Here is a 21,102-nt window from a genome sequence, read left to right as displayed (position 1 = left end):
AAGTTTTGCTATATTAGAAATAGCCAAAGCCCCTTCTAGAGTGAATGTGTTCTTTTTCTTCTCTACCAGCAATGAAAGAGAATGCCACATCTTTTGTACAATTTGGTATTTTCAGGTTGTTGCATTGTATCAATTGTAACAGGTGGGTAGAAGAATGTTACTGCTGTTTACATTTGTATTTTTATTGAATAATTATGGTAATCATCTTTTCATATGCTTTTTTGTGATCTGTGTATCTTCATTGGTGAAGTCTTGAAATCATTTACTATTTTATTGGACTCTTCATTTTTATGTGGTTGCATGTTATAAGGTGTTTATTCATTCAGTATATGAATCCTTTATCCGACACGGGGTTTACAAGTATTTTCTCCCCATTTTTGGCTTTTTTCCCCATTCCTTTAAGTGTTTTTTTTTTTTTAGTAAACATTTTAGAGTAATTTTAAATTTACAGAAAAGTTGCGAAGACAGTTAAGAGGGTTTTCCTATACATCATGTCCAGTTTCTCCTATTATTAACATCATGCAATAATATGATACATTCTTCATAATTCATAAATCAATATTCACCTGCACATTCCTGTCATTGTTTGAGGATCCCATCTAGGATACCATGCTACTTTAGTCTAAGCTGTGATAGTTTCTCAGACTATTCTTGTTTTTGATGACTTTAACAGTTTTGGGGAGTATCGATCAGGCTATTTGTGGAATTACCCTCATTTGGTATTTGTCTGAGTTTTTTCATATATAGACTTGAGTAATGGCTTTGGGGTAGGAGACCAGAGAGGCGAAATGCCATTCTCATTACACGATATTTTAGCAACATGACTCATCGCTGTTGATGTTGACTGATGAACTGGCTGAGGTAGTGTTGTCAGGATTTCCCTCTGCAAGGTTATTACATTCCCCCCTTTCTGTATTGTGCTTTATAAAAGAAAGTCACTAAGGGCAGCCATTGGGTAGTAGGGAAGTATGGTCCACCTTCTTGGGAAGGGGTAGTATTGACATGAATGATTTGGGATTCTTCTCAATGGGAGATTTGTTTATTCTCCCCCATTATTTGTATTTATTTAACCTTCAATTTGTCTCGGCTGAACTCATGGTAATTTATTATATGTTTGGGGTTATAATTCAACACCACTTTTATTTTGCTGCTCAGATTGTTCCATCTTTGTCCATTGGAAGCTCTTTCAGTTGGCTCTGATGTCCCCTTCACGTAACTGAGCCATTACATTTGTTTGTAGCTCTGTCTTACTTTATGGTATGACAAGATGATGCAGGCTCATTTTTATATTTCCTGTTCCAGTCATAGAAGAGTCAATTTTCCATGGTTTCTGCTTCCTTTTATGGGAGAAGAGTATTGGAATGTGAGAGGTGGGTGCTTGGCATGCTCATTGTTCCTGAGGATTTGTTATTCCTAGCCACCTCAATTCTCAGAGTAAAGATATATATTTTGGTATATTAACCTGTGTATATACACATATCTATAATCAGAATTCTTAAACCCAGTCCCTGTGAGAAATAGCTTTAGAAGCCAGACAATACTGCTTCAGTACAGTTTCTTTTAACTTCGGTCCCAGAGACTAACTTCCACAGGTACTTAGGACAGCACCATATCCCCAGATACTCATTAGAGGTTGTTTCATAGATTTGTAACACAGTTATATTGTTTTGTCATATTCTATACTCCACCTTGGCATTCCTCGACCTCCTAATTTTTTCAATTTTGCATACATTGAGGTTTACTCTTTGTGCTTTAAGGTTTTATGCTTTTTGACAAATGCATAATATATTCCATTTTTTGACAGCATGTCATCAACCATGACATGACAAAATCAATCATTACAGTAGCCTAGAGAATAGTTTCACCTGTCTAATAAATTCCTTCTGCTTATCCTAGTCATACCTTTTCCCCACCCCTGATCCCTGGCCACAACAGGTATTTTTACTGTCGTTATAGTCTTGTCTTTCCAGAACGTCAAATAAATTGCATCATATACTATGTAGTCTTTTCGGACTGGCTTCTTTTACTTAGAATTAAGCATTTAAGATTTATTCATGTTTTTGTGTGCCTAGATAAGTAAATATTTTGGTTGATGAATAGTGTTCTGTTGTTGTTGGACCACAGTTTGTTTATTCATCTGTCTCTTGAAGAACATCTTTGTTGTTTCCAGTTTTGGCCAATTATTAAATAAGCTGCCACACCCATTCATATGCAGGTTTTTTTTGTGGGCATAAATTTGCAAATTAGTTCAATGTATACCTAGGAGTGTCAAGAATTTGTTCAGCTTTGTAAAAAAATCAACTGACAAACCATCTTTGAAAGTGGCTGTACTACTTTGCATTCCCAACAGCAACAAATGAGAGTTCCTTGTTGCCAGGAATTGGTATTGTCAGTATTTGGATTTTGGACATTCTAATAAGTGTGTATCTTTGTTATTTAATTCATAATTCTCTAATAAAGAATGACATTGACTATGTTGTCTTATGCTTATTTTTTATGTGTACATGTTTTTTGTTAATTTGTCTGTTCAGAGCTTTTGCACATCTATTAATAGAGATTTCTTGTTTGTTTTCTTATTTACTTTTAAGCATTTTCTGTATATTCTGAATAGTTCTCATTGTTTAGTTTTATACTTTCTCTGTAGATTTTGGATACAAGTCCTCTATGAGATGTATGTTTTGCAAATATTTTCTTAAAGTCTGTAGCTTATCTTTCCTTTTTCTTACCAGTGCCTTTTACAGAGCAGTAGTTTTGTTTTTAATTTTTAGAATGTCCACCTTTTCAATTTTGTCTTCTATGGGCATGCTTTTGATGTTGTATGTAAAAACCCATCACCAATATCAAGGCCATGTAGATCTCCATTTATGTTTTCCTCCAGAAATTCTATAATTTTACATTTTATATTTGAGTCTGTGAAGTATTTTAAGATAATTGTTTGTGAAAGTTGTAAGGCTCTTTCTAGGTTCATTTCTTTGCATATTGATATGCATTTGTTCAGGTACCTTTTGGTGGAAAGACTGTCATTTCTCCATAGAATTGAATTTGCACCTTTGTCAAAAATCAGTAGACTATATTTGTGTGGGTCTTTTTCTGGGCTCTATTTAGTTCCATTGATGTGTATCTGTTCTTTTGCCAATAGCATACTTTCTTGATTACTGTAGGTTGACAGAATAACTGTATATCAAAGCTAACATCAACCATGAGAAACCATTCATATGTCTAGTGATTTCCTTTTATATGATGTAATGAGAATGACATTTTACTTCTGAGATCTTCTCCTAAATGTCCCTATCTCTATTCTTTTTTTTTTTAATTTTTATTTTCAGTTCAAGGGTACATGTGCAGGTTTGTTACATAGGTAAACTGGTGGCATGGGGGTTTGTTGTACAGATTATTTCATCACCCAGCTATTAAGCCTAGTGCCCATTAGTTATTTTTCCTGATCCTCTTCCTCCTCCCACCCTCCACCATCTGAGAAGCACCAGTGTGTGTTGTTCTCCTCTATGTGCCCATGTGTTCTCATCATTTAGCTCCCACTTATAAGTGAGAACATGTGGTATTTGGTTTTCTGTTCCTTTGTGAGTTTGCTAAGGATAATGGCCGCCAGCTCCATCCATGTTCCTGCAAAGGACAGGATCTCATTATTTTTTATGGCTGCATAGTATTCCATAGTGTATATGTACAACATTGTCTTTATTCAGTCCATCATTGATGGGCATTTAGGTTGATTTCATGTCTTTGCTATTGTCCATGATGCTGCAATGAACATACATGTCCTTGTGTCTTTATAATAGAATGAGTTATATTCCTTTGGGTATATACCAATAATTTGATTGCTGGGTCAAAATGTATTTCTGTTTTTAGGTCTTTGAGGAACTGCCATACTATCTTCCACAATGGTTGAACTAATTTACACTCCCATCAACAGTTTATAAGCATTCCTTTTTCTTTGTAACCTCCTCAGCATCTGTTATTTTTTGATTTTTTAGTAATAGCCATTCTGACTGCTGTGAGATGGTATCTCATTGTGGTTTTGATTTGCATTTCTCTAATGATCAGTGATGTTGAGCTTTTTTTTCATATGCTTGTTGGCCGCATATATGTTTTCTGTCTTCTTCTGAAAAGTATCTGTTCATGTCCTTTGCCCACTTTTTAACGGGGTTGTTTATTTTCTTCTTGTAAATTTGTTTAAGTTCCTTATAGACGCTGGATATTAGATCTTTGTAAGATGCATAGTTTGCAAAAATTTCCTCTCATTTTGCAGGCTTTCTGTTCACTTTGTTGATAGTTTCCTTTGCTGTGCAGAAGCGTTTTAGCTTAATTAGATCCCATTTGTCAATTTTTGCTTTTGTTGCAATTGCTTTCAGCATGTTTGTCATGAAATCTTTGCCCATTGCTATGTCCTCAATGGTATTGTTTAGGTTATTTTCCAGGGTTTTCATAAGTTTTACATTTAAGTCTTTGATCAATCTTGAGTTAATTTTTGTATATGGTATAAGGAAAGGGTCTAGGTTTTTTTTTTTGTTTGTTTTTTTTTTTTTTTGAGACGGAGTCTCACTTTGTCACCCAGGCTGGAGTGCAGTGGCACAATCTCGGCTCACTGCAAGCTCCGCCTCCCAGGTTCACGCCATTCTCCTGCCTCAGCCTCCTGAGTAGCTGGGACTACAGGCACCTGCCACCACGTCCGGCTAAGTTTTTGTATTTTTGGTAGAGACGGGGTTTCACCATGTTAGCCAGGATGGTCTCAATCTCCTGACCTCGTGATCCGCCCGCCTTGGCCTCCCAAAGTGCCAGGATTACAGGCACGAGCCACCGCGCCTGGCCAGAGTCCAGTTTTAATCTTCTGCATATGGCTAGCCAATTATCCCAGCACCATTTGTTGAATAGGGAATCTTTTCCCCATATCTTGTTTTTGTCAGGTTTGTTGAAGATCAGATAGTTGTAGGTGTGTGGCCTTATTTCTGGGTTCTCAATTCTGTTCCATTCATCTATGTGTCTGTTTTTATACCAGTACCATACTATTTTGATTATTATAGACCTGTAGTATAGTTTGAAGTTGGGTAGTGTGAAGCCACCAGCTTTGTTCTTTTTGCTTAGGATTGCCTTGGCTATTTGGGCTCTTTTTTGGTTTTACATAAATTTTAAAATAGTTTTTTTTCTAGTTGTGTGAAGAATCTCAATGGTAGTTCAATAGGAATAGCATTGAATCTACAAATTGATTTGAGAAGTATGTCCATTTTTATGACATTGATTCTTCCTATCCATGAGCATAGGATGTTTTTCCATTTGTTTGTGTCATCTTTGATTTTTTTGAGCAATGTTTTGTAGTTCTCATTGTAGAGATCTTTCACCTGCCTGGCTAACTGTATTCCTAGGTATTTTATTCTTTTTGTGGCAATTGTGAATGAGAGTTCATTCCTGATTTGGCTCTTGGCTTGACTGTTGTTGGTGTGTAGGAATGTTACTGATTTTTGTACATTGATTTTGTATCCTGAGACTTTTTTGAAGTTATCAGCTTAAGAAGCTTTTGGGCTTAGACTATGGGGTTTTCTAGATATAGGTCATGTCATCTGCAAACAGGGATAGTTTAACTGACTGCCTCTCTTCCTATTTTGATGCCCTTTATTTCTTTCTCTTGACTGATTGTCATGTCCAGGACTTCCAGTCCTATGTTGAATGGGAGTGCTGAGAGAGTGCATCCTTCTCTTGCGCCGGTTTTCAAGGGAAATGCTTCAAGCTTTTGCCCATTTAGTATGATGTTGGCTGTGAGTTGTCATAGATGAGTCTTATTATTTTGAGGTATGTTCCTTCAATACCTATTTTATTGAGAGTTTTTAACATGAAGGGGTGTAGAATTATATTGAAAGCCTTTTCTGAATCTATGAAATAGTCGTGTGATTTTGTCTTTAGTTCTGTTTATGTGATGAATTACATTTATTGATTTGTATATATTGAACCAACTTGTATCCAGGGATGAAACCTACTTGATCGTGGTGGATAAGCTTTTTGATGTGCTGCTGGATTTAGTTTGCCAGTATTTTGTTGAGGATTTTTGCATCACTCTTCATCAAGAATCAGGGTTCTTGCACTGATTCTTATTATCCTTATTATCTTTGTGGGCTTATGTACCTTCAGTCTTTGAGGTTTCTGACCTTTGGATGGATTTTTTCTTTTATCCCATTTGATGACCTTGAATGTTCGACTGTGGTGTAAGGTGAAGTGAGACTCCAGCCTGGGTGACAAAGTGAGACTCCATCTCAAAAAAAAAAGTCAGCTGGCTGGCTTTGTTTCTGGGGGCCAACACTCAGCACTCAACACCTGGACTGTATGTTCTAATTCTGGGGGACTTGTATTGGGTCCCATCTTTGTTCTCTGGCTCCTCGAGGTTTGGAATCCACTGCACTGTGCAGGCAGAGGTACAACAGCTGTGGTAGAGTGTTTGTGGGTGCCAGGGTGCCTACCTCCCTGCGTGTGTTCACCACAGTGGCGGAGGCAATGCAGCTGGATGGGGGATGGGGGCCCCCTGCTGGAGACTGTGTGTGTGGTCACACTGGAGGTGGTGGTGACTCAGGGGTGGGGTGCTGGTGAGTGCAGGTCTAGGTGCCTTCTCTATGCCCCACAAGCAGGAGTGATCACTCATGGTGGGGGAGGATCTGCTGTCATATCCCCATTCTAATCAGGAGAAAAAGATAAGACAAATACCACTGGATGGATTTTGTGCTAAAGAGCTGACCAATATTCCTCAAAAGTGTTAAGATCATCAAAAACAGGGACAGTCTCAGGAATTTTTACAACTAAGACAAGACTAAGGAAGCATGACTAGCAATGGAAAGAATTAAACTTTTATTCTGCCCTTCCTGTGTATTTTAAGATTACTCTACAGGCACAGTTGAAGAGGGAGAGCTGTTCCTCACTGAAAAATTTAAGCCAAGCCTAGTGAAGGCTATGTTTAACAAAAGAAACAATATCTAGAACCCCAGTGACTGAACTGATGTAGGTTGAATGAAACACTTTGGTTAAAGGTCAGTGAGGAATCAGTCAAAGGAGGAACGAGACTGTCATCACCTGAACCCACGATCAGTGCTGATATGGTAAAGAGTGAAAAAACCAGAACTCATGTGCTTCATGCTGGGATGCTGTAGGAGACATGGCACCACTGATGAAGTCCTTTTATCAGAAGAGTGAGACCTGCCTCTAACCTTGTCACAGAGGCTAACTTCCTATGATCAGAAACACTGGGAAAGAGCAACAAGTTAAATGACACAAGAAGGCAGCATACAGACAAATGAATGGTGGTGAGACATGCTGCAGGACCACAGGCCAGTCTGCTAAAACAAGCCAATAGAATGAAAAAGGACAATGGGATGAAGGCAGACATTGTGGGCAATAGGTCTGCTGGAGACTTAAAAGAGACCCAAGAGTATGATCTAAAGCAGAACATCCGTACACCCTAAGCTCCAGAATGTCCCCTCTGAGGTATGTACTAGTGAAAAGGCATACATTCATTTGGCAAAAGATGTGTCTAAGCATGCCCTCAGTAGCACGCTAGAAACAGCCCCAGTGTTCATCACCCTAGCATGGGTAAATACATTGGGATATATACAAAGGAATACTATACAGCCATGAGCATGAAAAAACCATTGTTACTTCTACAACATGGATGAAGGTCACTAATCTATTTTTGATCAAATATAGCCAGACCCAAAGAATATCAGCTCAATAATTCCATTTAAATAAAGATCAAAACAGGCAGTACTACTCTATCCACTAAAGTTAGGATAGTGGTTACCTTGGGAGACAGTGACTGGGAGGGGAATGAGGGGGATTCTCAGAGAATATGTTAATTTCTTGAGAGACGATGGGCCCTCCAGGGATATTCACATATGAAAATTAAGCAAGTCTATGTTTGTGATCTGTGCACTTCGTCAGCAGGGAGAGGGAGAATTAGGAGACATGAATGAATACAGTGTGCGAATCTAGTGGGTTTGGATCCAAACAGACACAATCCCATAGGCCACAATTCCAAATGTTGAAACCCCAAAAGGTCAATCTTTCTAAAGTCTAAATTCCAAAATATCAAAATCCCTAAGCAGAAGATGAGAAAGGTTAATAGAGAATGCTCATGTCAGTGTAACATAGAATTTCAATAAAGCAGTGCCATGAAGAAAACGAATGTGAATATATTCACTGAGGATACCCATGTCCTAAAAGAGAAAAAAAAAAGCAGCTATATGATGCGATGCATGACTTCAAAATATAGTAAATGATCGTGAAATCTGGCCAGTTCTTAACCACTATCTCCATGCAATTGCCCGTAATTTATACCTGTGATGCACTTTTTCTTATGTCATTTTTTAAAGTTTTTGTTTCCTATTTCTTTTCTTTTTTTCACTATGTTAAATTGTCAGCATTATTTTTTACAATGTGTCATATTTCTTTCATCTTGGCATTGCTTCCAGTACTAGAGGCATAAATTGTGTAGAGACTTTTAAAGAGTCTAATTTGTTTTATGCATTTTTTCAAATTAGATTCCACAAAAGTACATTATCACAATGCTTTGTGTGTAAGCATTGTGACGCATGTATAATCTTGCTGAATAAATGAAGAGATGTCTTTTTTTGTTCATGTGCATTTTTGAAAGATAAAATTTCTCGAGATCTTGACTCTAGGTGAAGGTGTGTGCAGTGGTGATCCATAATGGTTTTTGATTGTAGTTGTAAAAGACTTAGGTTGTTGGTCACAGTATTTCATATGACACCAAACTTATAAAATGAGTTTACAAAATTATCAACTATAGTAATATTTGTTGATACATTTCCTTGTGTGACCTATTTCTTTATGATTATGGTTTGTCCGCTTATAAGAGTTATACCTGTGTGACTGTCATTGGTGTAACTGTTTGTGCTTGCAAATATATGCATGTTATTGTTGTCTATTTCATTATATAAAGTGGCTTATGAAGTATTCTATCATGTTTTTACATTTCTCAAATAAGCCTACATTTTTAAAGGTAAATAAACATCTTCAATGATTTTTAAAATTATTTTTCCCAGAAGTGCATTTTTGGCATTTTGATATTTTGGGATTTCAGCATTTAGGGTTATGGTGATTGGCATTGCATCTTGTGGGATTATGGTGGACTCCTCACTGTAGGCATTGTATTCTGGCCTGCTGGCCCTAGTGTGTGGCCAATGGTCAGCCTGCCCAGTGGGGTTGGCCTACAGGTGACCTTTGGGTCACCCAGTCAGCTAGGAATGAAGGAGATGATTCAGGGCAGGTATATGGGAGTGTAGGGCCCACCCTTGAACAGGAGTGCAGCCTCTGGAGGGTGGAAGGGACCTGCACCATCCATGTACAAGTGGAAGCTTCTCCATCCTCACCCACTCTGTCCTAAACCCCAACTCTCCTCCAGGGCCCTTGTCTGTATTTTAGAAAAGGTGGTGTCCTAATGGAGATGGGGAGAAGACAGGTGGGCCAGGTCCAGTGACAGTCTCTCACTGGCTTCCTTGCAGGCCTCAGCCATGTGGCATGGGGCATCTGGCACTGGGTAACTGTTGATTACAGCAACCCTTCCCTGGTCATGGGGTAGACAGCTGAGGCCAGGGTGAGGGCAGAGCCCTGTTAAATGCAACTGTTGCTGGTTATAAGCTGAGCCAATCACGTACCTTCTCTGCCTCAATTCTTCATCTGTAAAGTGGGAACATGATAGTACAAGTTCAGAGAACTGGTGTGAGTCTTTACCTGATGTCACCCACCTGCATGTAAAATGACTGGCCCAAATGATGTGGTCAGTAAGAAGTAGCTTTTGTTACAGTATGTCTAAAATATGCCTTCCCTCATATTTTAACATTTCTAAACCTGTATATGTCTTCAGATCCACTTGTACACTGATTAGTGCATTTATTTTCATTTCCTCCTGAAAATCTGTTATGATGGATGGTTCATCTCACATCTCGGAACTGTGAAGACATGGTATAACTTGTTCCAGGTCTGGCTGGGTAACAGTCAGGGCTACTGGACCAGGGCCTGGATTCCTACATGAGTCTGTGGGACTTGGCCCTGGGAAGGTTTCCAACACATCTTCCAGGACCACACTCCCTGCACCCAACCCCAGACCTCAAAGTTTTGCAAGGGACAGTCCTCCAGCTGGAAACCCTGAATGCCCACACTGTGCCTGTCCCTGGACTCCCAGGTTCATGTTTCTAGAGAATGCTGGAGCCACATTCCAAATTCTTCCTGCCATAGCTTGGATTTGCAAGGAGCCTTCCACATAGATATGTAAAAACCATTTTTGCTCACACAATTGTTTTCAAGGTTTGACTCAGCCTAGAGCTACCTACTTAGAAGCTGCAAGCCTCTCTTGAGTCCAAGATATTTACAATTTCCTCTTCTGAATTTCCTTCCAGAAAGCAGCCAGAGGAGGAATTATGTCCCCAGGACACAATTATGTGCTAAACCATGGCTAGGAACTTGTTGATTGCGTAGACATCAACCTTTCGTATGTCCAAGGCCTTGCCCTCTCAGCTTTGTCATCCACTGCACTTTTCTTTTTTGCACACTCAGGAATCTGCCACACCACCTGCCCTTCACCCACCTTCTGTCAGCATTCAATGGGTGACAGGAAACTGCTGCACAAAGTGCTCTGGGGGTCTGTGTCATTTGCTATGTGCAACCCTCCCTTCAATGGGTATTTGGAAGGAGCCCATCTCTCCGATGAGCCAGACTAGACCATGGAAGGGTTCAGACATGGCCCAGGTTCCACAGTGAAGAAGTAAGAGGACCAGAATAGGCTCACATAATCAGACCCTCAGACTCACAACCTCTCTCAAGTAGAATGAGTGTTCTATTGAACAGAGGAGAGGAAGTTGTCTTTGTAGCCAGAAAAGTACTGAAGAGAGTGGAAACAGAAAACAAAAAGCAGGTTGGTCATTTCAAAGTTGCTTTCCATTTAGGACTAAAGTGGAAGAGACTTCCTGATTATGCTGACTCATGTTGATTGGAATTTTCTTTTTTTTTAAATATATATATATTTTTTATTATACTTTAAGTTCTAGGGTACATGTGCATAATGTGCATGTTTGTTACATATGTATACATGCGCGATGTTGGTGTGCTGCACCCATTAACTCGTCATTTACATTAGGTATATCTTCTAATGCTATCCCTCCCCCCTCCCCCCACCCCACAACAACTGGATTAAGAAAATGTGGCACATATACACCAAGGAATACTATGCAGCCATAAAAAATGATGAGTTCATGTCCTTTGTAGAGACATGGATGAAGCTGGAAACCATCATTCTCAGCAAACTATCGCAAGGACAAAAAACCAAACACCGCGTGTTCTCACTCATAGGTGGGAATTGAACAATGAGAACACATGGACACAGGAAGGGGGACATCACACACCGGGATTGGAATTTTCCGAATTATTTTTAACTGGCCCATTTGAAAGTTCAATTTGATTTCATGACAATTAGCATGAATGACTCCATTCCGATTTGTTCTTCTGGGGCCTAGTAAAGGAGGCTGGTCTGACACAATGGCCTCCCATTAACTTTGTTTCACAATCCCCCCATTTTGGCCAGGGTGAGAGTGTGGCCAAATCAGAGGGCATGAGTGCTACACTCAGTTACCATCAGTTTTGGATTTTTGGTGTTAACATGCCATTTGTATATTACAGTGTCCTTGTTGTCATGTGTTTCTTGGAGCTTTCATCATTCCAGCTGGAGAGAGGCCATTTAGCCTTCAGCAGATGGCTGCATGGAGATTTCTAAGCCTTTTCGAGAGGATGCAGTGAACTAGGGAGACCACTCTTATGACTGTCAGGAGGATAATGCCAAGAGTTTGGAGTATGCTCTTGCAATGGGAATGACAGAGCAAAGGTTGCTGCCTAGCCAATTGAAGTAGAACATCACACCCAAATGTCTCAAGCCTCTGGTCAGAGATAAAAATTTAGAGGTGTCTCTCCCACCTAAAAGACTGGGCTTCCCCTGTTTTTCCCTCCATATCTTTTACTTTAAAAGTACCATTCAGGCATTTGCCTGTGAACTTAACATGACCCATGTCCTATTTTTCTATATTTATACTGCTCTCTCTCTCTCTCTCTCTCTCTCTCTCTCTCTGTCTCTGTCTCTCTCCCTTCCCTCTCTCTGTGCCTGATTCTTTGCTTCTTCATTCCTGCCTCATATCATTAGGGAATAGAGAACCGTCCTCCCAACTCTTTGAACCCTCTCTGACCAGGATCTGTAAGTAATAAATCTTTGAACTTATTTCCTGTCATGGTGGTAATTTGAATTTTTGCCTTCCATTTGAATATCCTGTGTCTAACCAAGGCCAGGCTTTACCTGGGATGTTGTGGGGAACACAAGATCAGGGTCCATGTGACAGAACGGTGGTCAGGCAGGCATAAACGAAACACAGATTAGACAAGAACCACAGTGACATCTGCCATTATAAACAAATTTCCCACATGAGGGGCTACCTAATCAATGGTTGGACAACTAGGCACAAGAATTATCCTGTGAAAGGCATACTGGAAACACCTACCTTAAGCTCCCCTTCATTTCCAGTTATGGAAACCTTACCAGCTACTCTGGTACTGGAACCTCAGTTTGGCTGGGAATTTTAAAAACAGCCCCTTAGGCAGGCTTCCCATGAATTAAACCAACTGAAATTGAACAGATCAAAGAATGAGCCAGATGAGGAATCTACTTGTTTTAACCAAGCAGCCTGTTTGTCCTATTTATCCACATGCAACTGAAAGTGTTAGCAACTGCAGAGATCCCTCCGTTTTGAGCTAGAAGGTTGCAGTTCTATGATCTACTATCCTATCACAGGGCTAAATTAAAGCAGAGAGTGAGGTCAAGTGGGTCTGGAAGTCTGACTCTATAAAAGGGATTACTAGTAAAGTTTGGATAAACAATTGCATCAAGGATGTTGATAAAGCTAGCTACTGGGTGGATTAAAAATTCTCTTAGGTCATGTAAAAATATGGGTTTGGCATGGCATATCCAACTTTTTATGGAATCTAATCATTGTAAAATTCTAACTACTTTTGACCCTTGAACAACGTAGGTTTGAAATGTGTCGGTCCAGTTATACATGAACTTTCTTCTGCTCATGCCATTCCTGAGACTGTGAGAATAACCACTCCTCTTCCTTCTCTTCCACAGCCTACTGAAAGTGTGGATGATGAGGACAAAAACCCTTATCATGACCCACTTCACTTAATAAATAGTAAATATATTTTACTAAAATATACAAATACGTAAAATATATAAATGCAAAACCCTTATGATGATCCACTTTCACTTAATGAATAGTAAATATGTTTTGTCTTACATAGGATTTTCTTAATAACCCTTTCTCTTCTCTAGCTTTCTTTATTGTAAGAGTATAGTACATAATGCATTAAACAGAAAAAAATATGTGTTAATTCTTACGGTTTCCAGTCAGCCGTAAGCTATTAGTAGTTATGTTTCTGGGGAGTAGTATGTTATATGTAGATTTTTGACTGCATTGGGAGTCAGTGCCTCCAGCCCTCACTTTATTCAAGAATCAGTTGTACAGGTATTATCCTGACAAGTGAATGAGGTAAGCATAAGTAAGAAAAAATTAAGAGGGGTAAGGGTGTCATTGTGATAGTCTTATTTCAATAAGACTTCAGTAAGTCAATAAGTTTTATTTCAAGTGTGACTTCATAAGAAGTCATACCTTTTTAACTTTTATGTTAGGTTCAGGGGTACTTGTGCAGGTTTGTTATACAGGTACATTGTGTGTCATGGGGGTTTGGTGCACGCCTCATCCAGGTAATAAGCATAGTACATGATAGATGGTTTTTCAATCCTCACCCTCCTCCCACCCTCCAACTTCAAATAGGCTCTTGTGTCTGTGTTCCCTTCTTTGTGTCCATGTGGACTCCATGATTACCTCCCACTTATAACTGAGAACATGTGGTATTTGGTTTTCTGTTCCTGTGTTAGTTCACTTAGAATAATGGCCTCCAGCTCCATCCATGGTGCTGCAAAGGACATGATCTCTTTTTATGGCTGTGTAGTATTCCATGGTGTATATGTACCACATTTTCTTTTTCCAATCTATTGCTGATGGACATGTAGGTGATCCTATATCTTTGCTTTTGTGAATAGTGCTGCAATGAATATATGCATGCATGTGTCTTTATGATAGAACGATTCCTTTGGGTATATACCCAATAATGGGATTGCTGGGTTTAATGGTAATTCTGCCTTAAGTTCTTTCAGAAATCACAACTGGGTTTTTCACAGTGGCAGAACTAACATACATTCTCACCAGCAGTGTATAAGAATTCCCTTTCCTCTGCAACCTCACCAGTGTCTGTTATTTTCTTCACTTTTTAGTAGTAGCCATTCTGACTGGTTTGAGATCGTATCTCATTGTGGTTTTGATTTGTATTTCTCTAATAGTTGGTGATGTGGAAAATTTTTTCATATGTTTGTTGGCCACGTGTATGTCTTCTTTTGAAAAGTGTCTGTTCATGTCCTTTGCTCACTTTTTTTTTGGGGGGTGGGGTCGGGGAACAGAGTCTCACTCTGTCGCCTTGGCTGGAGTGCAGTGGCGCAATCTCGGCTCACTGCAACCTCCACCTCCCAGGTTCAAGCAATTCTCCTGTCTCAGCCTCCCAAGTAGCTGGGATTACAAGCATACACCACCACGCCTGGCTAATTTTTTTTGTGTTTTTAGTAGAAGCAGGGTTTCACCATATTGGCCAGGCTGGTCTCGAACTCCTGACCTTGTGATTTGCCTGCCTCAGCCTCCCAAAGTGCTGGAATTACATGCATGAGCCACCGTGCCTGGCCTCTGCTCATGTTTTAATTGAGTTGTTGTTTTGCTTGTAAATTTGTTTAAGTTCCTTATAGATTCTGAATATTAGACCTTTGTGAAATGCATAGTTTGCAAATATTTTATCCCATTCTGTAGATTGTCTGTTTATTCTCTTAATAGTTTCTTTTGCTGTGCAGATGCTCTTCAGTTTAATTAGGTCCTATTTGTCAATTTTTGTTTGTGTTGCAATTGCTTTTGGCATCATTGTGAAATCCTTGCCAGGGCCTAGGTCTAAAATGGTATTTTCTTGGTTCTCTTCCAGGGTTTTTATAGTTTTAGGTTTTAGGTTTAAGTTTCTAATCCATCTTGAGTTGTTTTTTGAATATGATGTAATGAAGTGGTCCAGTTTCAATCTTCTACATATGGCTAGCCAGTAATCCCAGCACCATTTGTTGAATGGGTAGTCCTTTCCCCCCTGCTTATTTTTGTTGACTTTGTCAAAGATCAGGTGATTGTAGGTGTGTGGTTTTATTTATGGGTTCTCTAACCTGTTCCATTGGTTTATATGTCTGTTTTTTGTACCAGTACCATGGTTTCTTGGTTATTGTAGCCTTGTAGTGCAGTTTGAATTCAGGCAGTGTGACGCTTCAAACTTTGCTCTTTTTGCTTCAGATTGCCCTGGCTATTTGGGCTGTTTTTGGTTCCATATGAATTTTAAAAATAGATTTTTTTTCTAATTGTGAGAGAAATGTCATTGGCAGTTTGATAGGAATAGCATTGAGTCTCTAAATTACTTTGGGCAGTATGGTCATTTCAACAATATTGATTCTTACTCTCCTTGAACGTGGAATATTTTCCATTTGTTTGTGTTATCTCTCATTTCTTTGACCAATGTTTTATAATTCTTGTAGAAATGTTTCATCACTCTGGTTAGCTGTATTCCTAGATATTTCATTCTTTTTTTGTGGCTGTTGTGAATGAGATTGCATTCTTGATTTGGCTCTCTTCTTGGATGTTGTTGGTGTATAGAGATGTTACTGATTATCGTACGTTGTGTATCCTGAGACATTGTAGAAGTTGTTTATCAGAACTAGAAGTTTTTGGGCAGAGACTATGGGTTTTCTAGTTATAGAATCAAATTGTCTACAAACAGAGGTAGTTTGATTTTCTCTCTTCCTATTTTGATGCCTTTTATATGATCCTCTTGCTTGATTTCTCTGGCTAGGACTTCCATTACTATGCTGAATACGAGTGGTGAGAGTGGTCATCCTTGTCTTTTTCTATTTCTCATGGAAAATGCTTCCAGCTTTTGCCCATTCAGTATGATGTTGGCTGCAAGCTCGTCACAGATTGCTGTCATTATTTGGAAGTATATTCCTTCAAAGCCTGGTTTTTTTTGGGTTTTTAACAAGAAGGAATGTTGAATTTTATAGAAACTCTTTTCTTCATCTATTGAGATCATCATGTGGTTTTTGTTTTAGATTCTGTTTACGTAATGAATCACACTTACTTACTTGCATATGTAGAACCACCTTTACATCCCGGGGATAAAGCCTACTTGATCATGGTGGATTAGGTTTTTGATATGCAGCTGCATTTGGTTTGGTCCTATTTAGTTGATGATTTTTGTCTGTGTCAAGGATATTGGCCTGAAGTTTTATTTTTTTTTCTTGTGTCTCTGTCAGGTTTTGGTATGAGGATGATGTTGACCTCATAGAATGAGTTAAAGAGAGTCCCTCGTCCTCAACTTTGTGGAATAGTTTCAGTAGGTATGGTAACATCACTTCTTTATAATCTGGTAGTATTTGACTGTGACTTTGTCTGGTCCTGAGCTTTTTCTAGCTGGTAGGCTTTTTACTACGGATTCAATTTTAGAAACTATTATTGGTTTGTTCAGGCATTCAGTTTCTTCCTGTTCAATCTTGGAAGGTTGTATGTTTTCAGAAATTTATCCATTTCTTCTAGGTTTTCTAGTTTGTGTGCAAAGAGGTGCTCATAGTAGTCTCTGAGACTTTTTTTTTGTATTTCTGTGGGGTCAGTGGTAATGTCCCCTTTGTCTTTTCTGATTGTGTTCATTTGGATCTTCTCTCTTTTTTTGTTAGTCTGGCTAGTGTTCTATCAATCTTATTTATTTATCCTCTCAAAAATCAAGTCCTGGATTTGATTTTTTTAATGGCTTTTCACATCTCAATTTCCTTCAGTTCAGATCTGATTTTGGTTATTTTTGCTCTTCTGCTATCTATGGGGTTGGTTTGCTATTGTTTCTCTAGTTCCTCTAGGTTTGACATTAGGTTGCTAATCTGAGAACTTTCCAACCTTTTGATGCAATACTATAAACTTCCCTCTTAACACTGCTTTAGCTGTGTTCCAGAGATTTAGGTATGCTGTATCTTTGTTCTCATTAGTTTCAAAGAATATTTCAATTTCTAAGTTAATTTTATTATTTACCTAAAAGTCATTCAGGAGAAGCTTGTTTAATTTTAATGTAATTGTGTAGTTTTAAGCGATTTTCTTTGAATTATCTTTTTATTTCACTGTGGTCTGAGAGTGTGGTTGGTTGGCATGTTTTCTTTTCTTTTTTTTTAAACTTGCTAAGGATTGTTTTATGTCTGATTGTGTGGCTTATTTTAGAATATGTGCCACGTGCAGATGAGAATAATGTGTATTCTGTTGTTTTTTGTTGGAGAGCTCTGTAGATGTCTGCTGGGTCCATTTTGTCAAGTGTCAAGTTCAGGTCCTGAATACCTTTCTCTGTTTTCTGCCTCAGTGATCTGTAATACTCTCAGTGGATTGTTGAATTTTCCAGCTAGTATTGTGTGGTTATGTCAGTCTCTTCATTTATCTCTAAGTACTTTCTTTATGAAACTGGGTGCATATATATTTGGGATAGTTAAGTCCTCTTGTTGAATTGAACCCTTTACCACTTTATAATGCCCTTCATTGTCTTTTTTTCATCTTTGTTGGCTTAAAGTCTGTTTTGTCTGAAATTAGAATAGCCACTTCTGCTTTTTTTCTGTTTTTCATTTGTTTTATAGGTTCTTCTCCATCTCTTTACTTTGACCCTATGGGTGTCATTGTATGTGAGATGGGTCTCTTGAAGACAGCATACCATTGGATCTTGCTTGTTTATCTTGCTTGTTTAGCTAGTTTGTGGATTTTAATTGGGGGAATTTAGCACATTTGTATTCAAGGTAACAATTGATATGTGTGGAATTGTTCCTGTCATCATGTTGTTAGCTGGTTATTAAGTAGACTTGTTTGTGTGGTTGTTTTATAGTGTCACTGGTCTATGTATTTAAGTGTGTTTTAGCAATGGCCAGTAATGGTCTTTCCTTTCCATGTTTAGCATTTGCTTCAGGACCTCTTGTAAGGCAGCCCTGGTGGTAACAATATCCCTTAACACTTGCTTGTCTGAAAAGGAATTTATTTCTCTTTTGCTTATGAAGCTTAGTTTGGCTGGATATAAAATTTCTGGTTGAAAATTATTTTCTTTAAGAATGTTCAATGTAGGCCTCCATTCTCTTCTGACTTGTGCAGTTTCTGCTAGAAGACCCTCAGTTATTCTGTTGGGGCTCCCTTTGTAGGTGACCTGCCACTTTTCTCTAGCTGCCTTTAACATTTTTTTGTTTCATTTCTACCTTGGGGAATCTGATGACTATGTGTCTTGGGGATAGTGCTCATGTGTAGTATTTCACATGGGTTCTCTGCATTTCTTGAATTTGAATCTCGGCCTCTCTAGCAAAGTTGGGGAAATTTTCATGGATGATATCCTAAATATGTTTTCCAAGTTGCTTGCTTTCTCTCTCTGTCTTTCAGGGACAACAATGAGTCATAGAATTGGTCTCTTTACATAATCTCATATTTCTCAGAAATTTTATTCATTCTTCTTTATTGTCTAAGTTGTTTTGGAAATCAGGTCTTCCATCTCTTAGAATCTTTCCTCAGCTTGATCAATTTAATTGTTAATACTTGTAATTGTATTTTGAGATTCTTGAAGTGAATTTTTCAGCTTTATCAGCTTGGTTTGGTTCTTTATTAAAATGGCCATTTCATCTTTCATCTCCTGAATTGTTTTATTGCATTTCTTAGAATCCTTGGATTGAGTTTTGCTCTTGAAGGTTGATGATTTTCATTCCTAACCATATTCTGCATTCTATGTCTGTCATTTCAGCAATTTCAGCCTGGTTAGGAACTATTGCTGGGGACCTAGTGTAGCTCTGACTTTTTGAGTTTCCAGAGTTCTTGCACTGTTTCTTTCTTATCTGTGTGGGCTGGTGTTCCTTTAGTCTTTGAAGTTACTGTACTTCGGATTTTTTTTTTTTTGCATTTATCTTCTTTTTTGCTCTTAAGGGTTTGATTGTGGTATCAAGTGTGTGCAGTCAACTGGCTTCATTTCTGGATGATTTTAGGAGGCCAAGGCTTAGCTCAGCACCCATGAATTGTGGGCTCTAACTGTGGGGGGCTGAGACTGGGCCCCTAGCTTTGTTCTCCAGCTGCTCAAGGTTAGCAACCTGCCATGCTGGAGGAGAAGAGGTGTTGCTGGTCTGCTGGTCACCACACTCCCATGAGTGGTGCTGGCTGAAGTACATTGTTAGGGAAGTGACATTGGGATCCTTGCCTCCTTACACATGTTAGCAGCCACAGAAACACAGCATGGTACATGCACCATGGCTGAGGCTGAGTACTAGCAGGAACAAGGCTGAGGCATTATAGTGTATACTCATGGCAGTGGCAGCAGCTGTGGTATGACAAGGTATGGGATGTCGACAGGGGCAGGGTTGCTGGAGTCCATGTGTCCACTCATGCCAATGTTGGCAACAGCAGGGGTGGGACACAGGCGGGCCTGGAGCTGCTGGCTTCCATGAGTGTGTTTGCACCAGTAGAGGTGGCAGTGCAAGGTGGTGGGGCAGAGCTGCTGGTGTCCATGCCTATGTTCACACCTGTGGCGGCACGGGGGAGGGGGGCTGGTGTTGCCAGCATACGTTTGCACATTCACGCCAGAAGTGGCAAGATATCTAGGTGCCAACACGTCAGCAGGTGGTGTGGTGGGATGTCCTCACGCCAGCAGCAGTGGCATGACATCCTGTTTGCTCATATGCATATCAGCTGAGGAGGGGAGTTGAGGTCTGCCTGCATGTGTGCATAAGCAAAGTGGTATGGTGGTGGCTGTGGGTGAGTATATGCCAGCAAAGTGGTGTGGGGGAGGCTGCAGTGGGGAGAGTGTACAGGTGGGCTGGGACACTTTGATGGGGGCCACTCTGCTGCAGTTATCAAACATGTTCTGCTGGTGAAGGAACTACGATAAAGACCCCGGGAAGCACTGTGGTAGGGCATCCCAGGCTGTACTGCAAGCAGGCAAGGCTAGGCTGGGGCCCTGGGAGATGAGAGCAGACAGGGTGGCACTCAGATTGGACAGGTCCCATGTCACAGGCAATATCATGCTGGTCTGTCCAGGTCCGACAGTCGCCCCAAGGCTAAAGTCTTCTAGAGGAAAATGGTGAGCCTTGTGGAATGGGCATCCCTGGTGGTTCTCCACTGCAGATATTTCAGCACCAAACCATCTGGGCTCTGCACAGGCTGGAGTATTGACCCTACCACCTCTCTAAGTAGCTCTCCCTGCCAGCTCAAGTGCCTGTGGGGGTTGTGGGGTCTCCTGCTGCTAGGATTCCTCATGTCTATGGCAAGAGCAGACCACTCCCTGCCTGTTTAACTCACCCCTTCCCCAGTTGTCGCTGGTTGCCAGGAATGAGTCCCGGTGCATGGTAGCCTTGTGCAGGGTTCCCAGCTTCCTCCCCCTTCAGCCCAGCATCTGCATCCCATCTCCATCCACTCTCAGTGCTTTCCCTCTGAAGATCTGCTTGGAGTGTGACAGTCTTCCATATGTCCTAGTCTCTCAGTGGCAGATGATCCTCCTGGCTGTGTCTAGTTAACCATCATGACTGAAACTCTGAAGTCATCAACTTCTTACCCTGGTTTGCAGTTTGAATGTCCCTGGTTATGGCTTCACGGATTGTAGTGAACTCCTGATTGGCTCACATATCAGGCAGGAATGTTGTCCCTTGACACTTACATTGAGGGGTTCACCTCCAGCCTATAGAGGAATGGAGCAGATTTTGTTGTTAGTACAGGAATTGTAGCCAGGTAATGGAGAAAACTAGAACAATTTGGAATCAAGTATGGTCTACAAATAGATAATAATAACTCAAAAACAATGAACAGAGATACAGTCTAATAATAGGTGCACAATAGTTTTTTTTTTAAATTTTCCCAAAACATATTTTTTCTGTCTTCGGTCATC

The 21,102-nt window shown here is 39.8% G+C and overlaps 1 long non-coding RNA gene across 1 annotated transcript in view; it reads right to left on the bottom strand.

The window, feature by feature from the left end:
- Positions 1-21,102, bottom strand: part of LINC00850 (long intergenic non-protein coding RNA 850) — a 54,092-nt gene that overhangs the window by 1,142 nt on the left and 31,848 nt on the right. The window contains exon 2 of the long non-coding RNA NR_109813.1: positions 20,773-20,895. This is a non-coding gene — a long non-coding RNA (long intergenic non-protein coding RNA 850). The remainder of the gene's footprint in view (positions 1-20,772; positions 20,896-21,102) is intronic.

The sequence above is a fragment of the Homo sapiens genome, chromosome X (genome assembly GCF_000001405.40).
Source record: "Homo sapiens chromosome X, GRCh38.p14 Primary Assembly".
Taxonomy (NCBI): domain Eukaryota; kingdom Metazoa; phylum Chordata; class Mammalia; order Primates; family Hominidae; genus Homo; species Homo sapiens.
The sequence above is the reverse complement of the archived record's forward strand: the minus strand, read 5'-3'. Positions and strand labels throughout refer to the sequence as shown.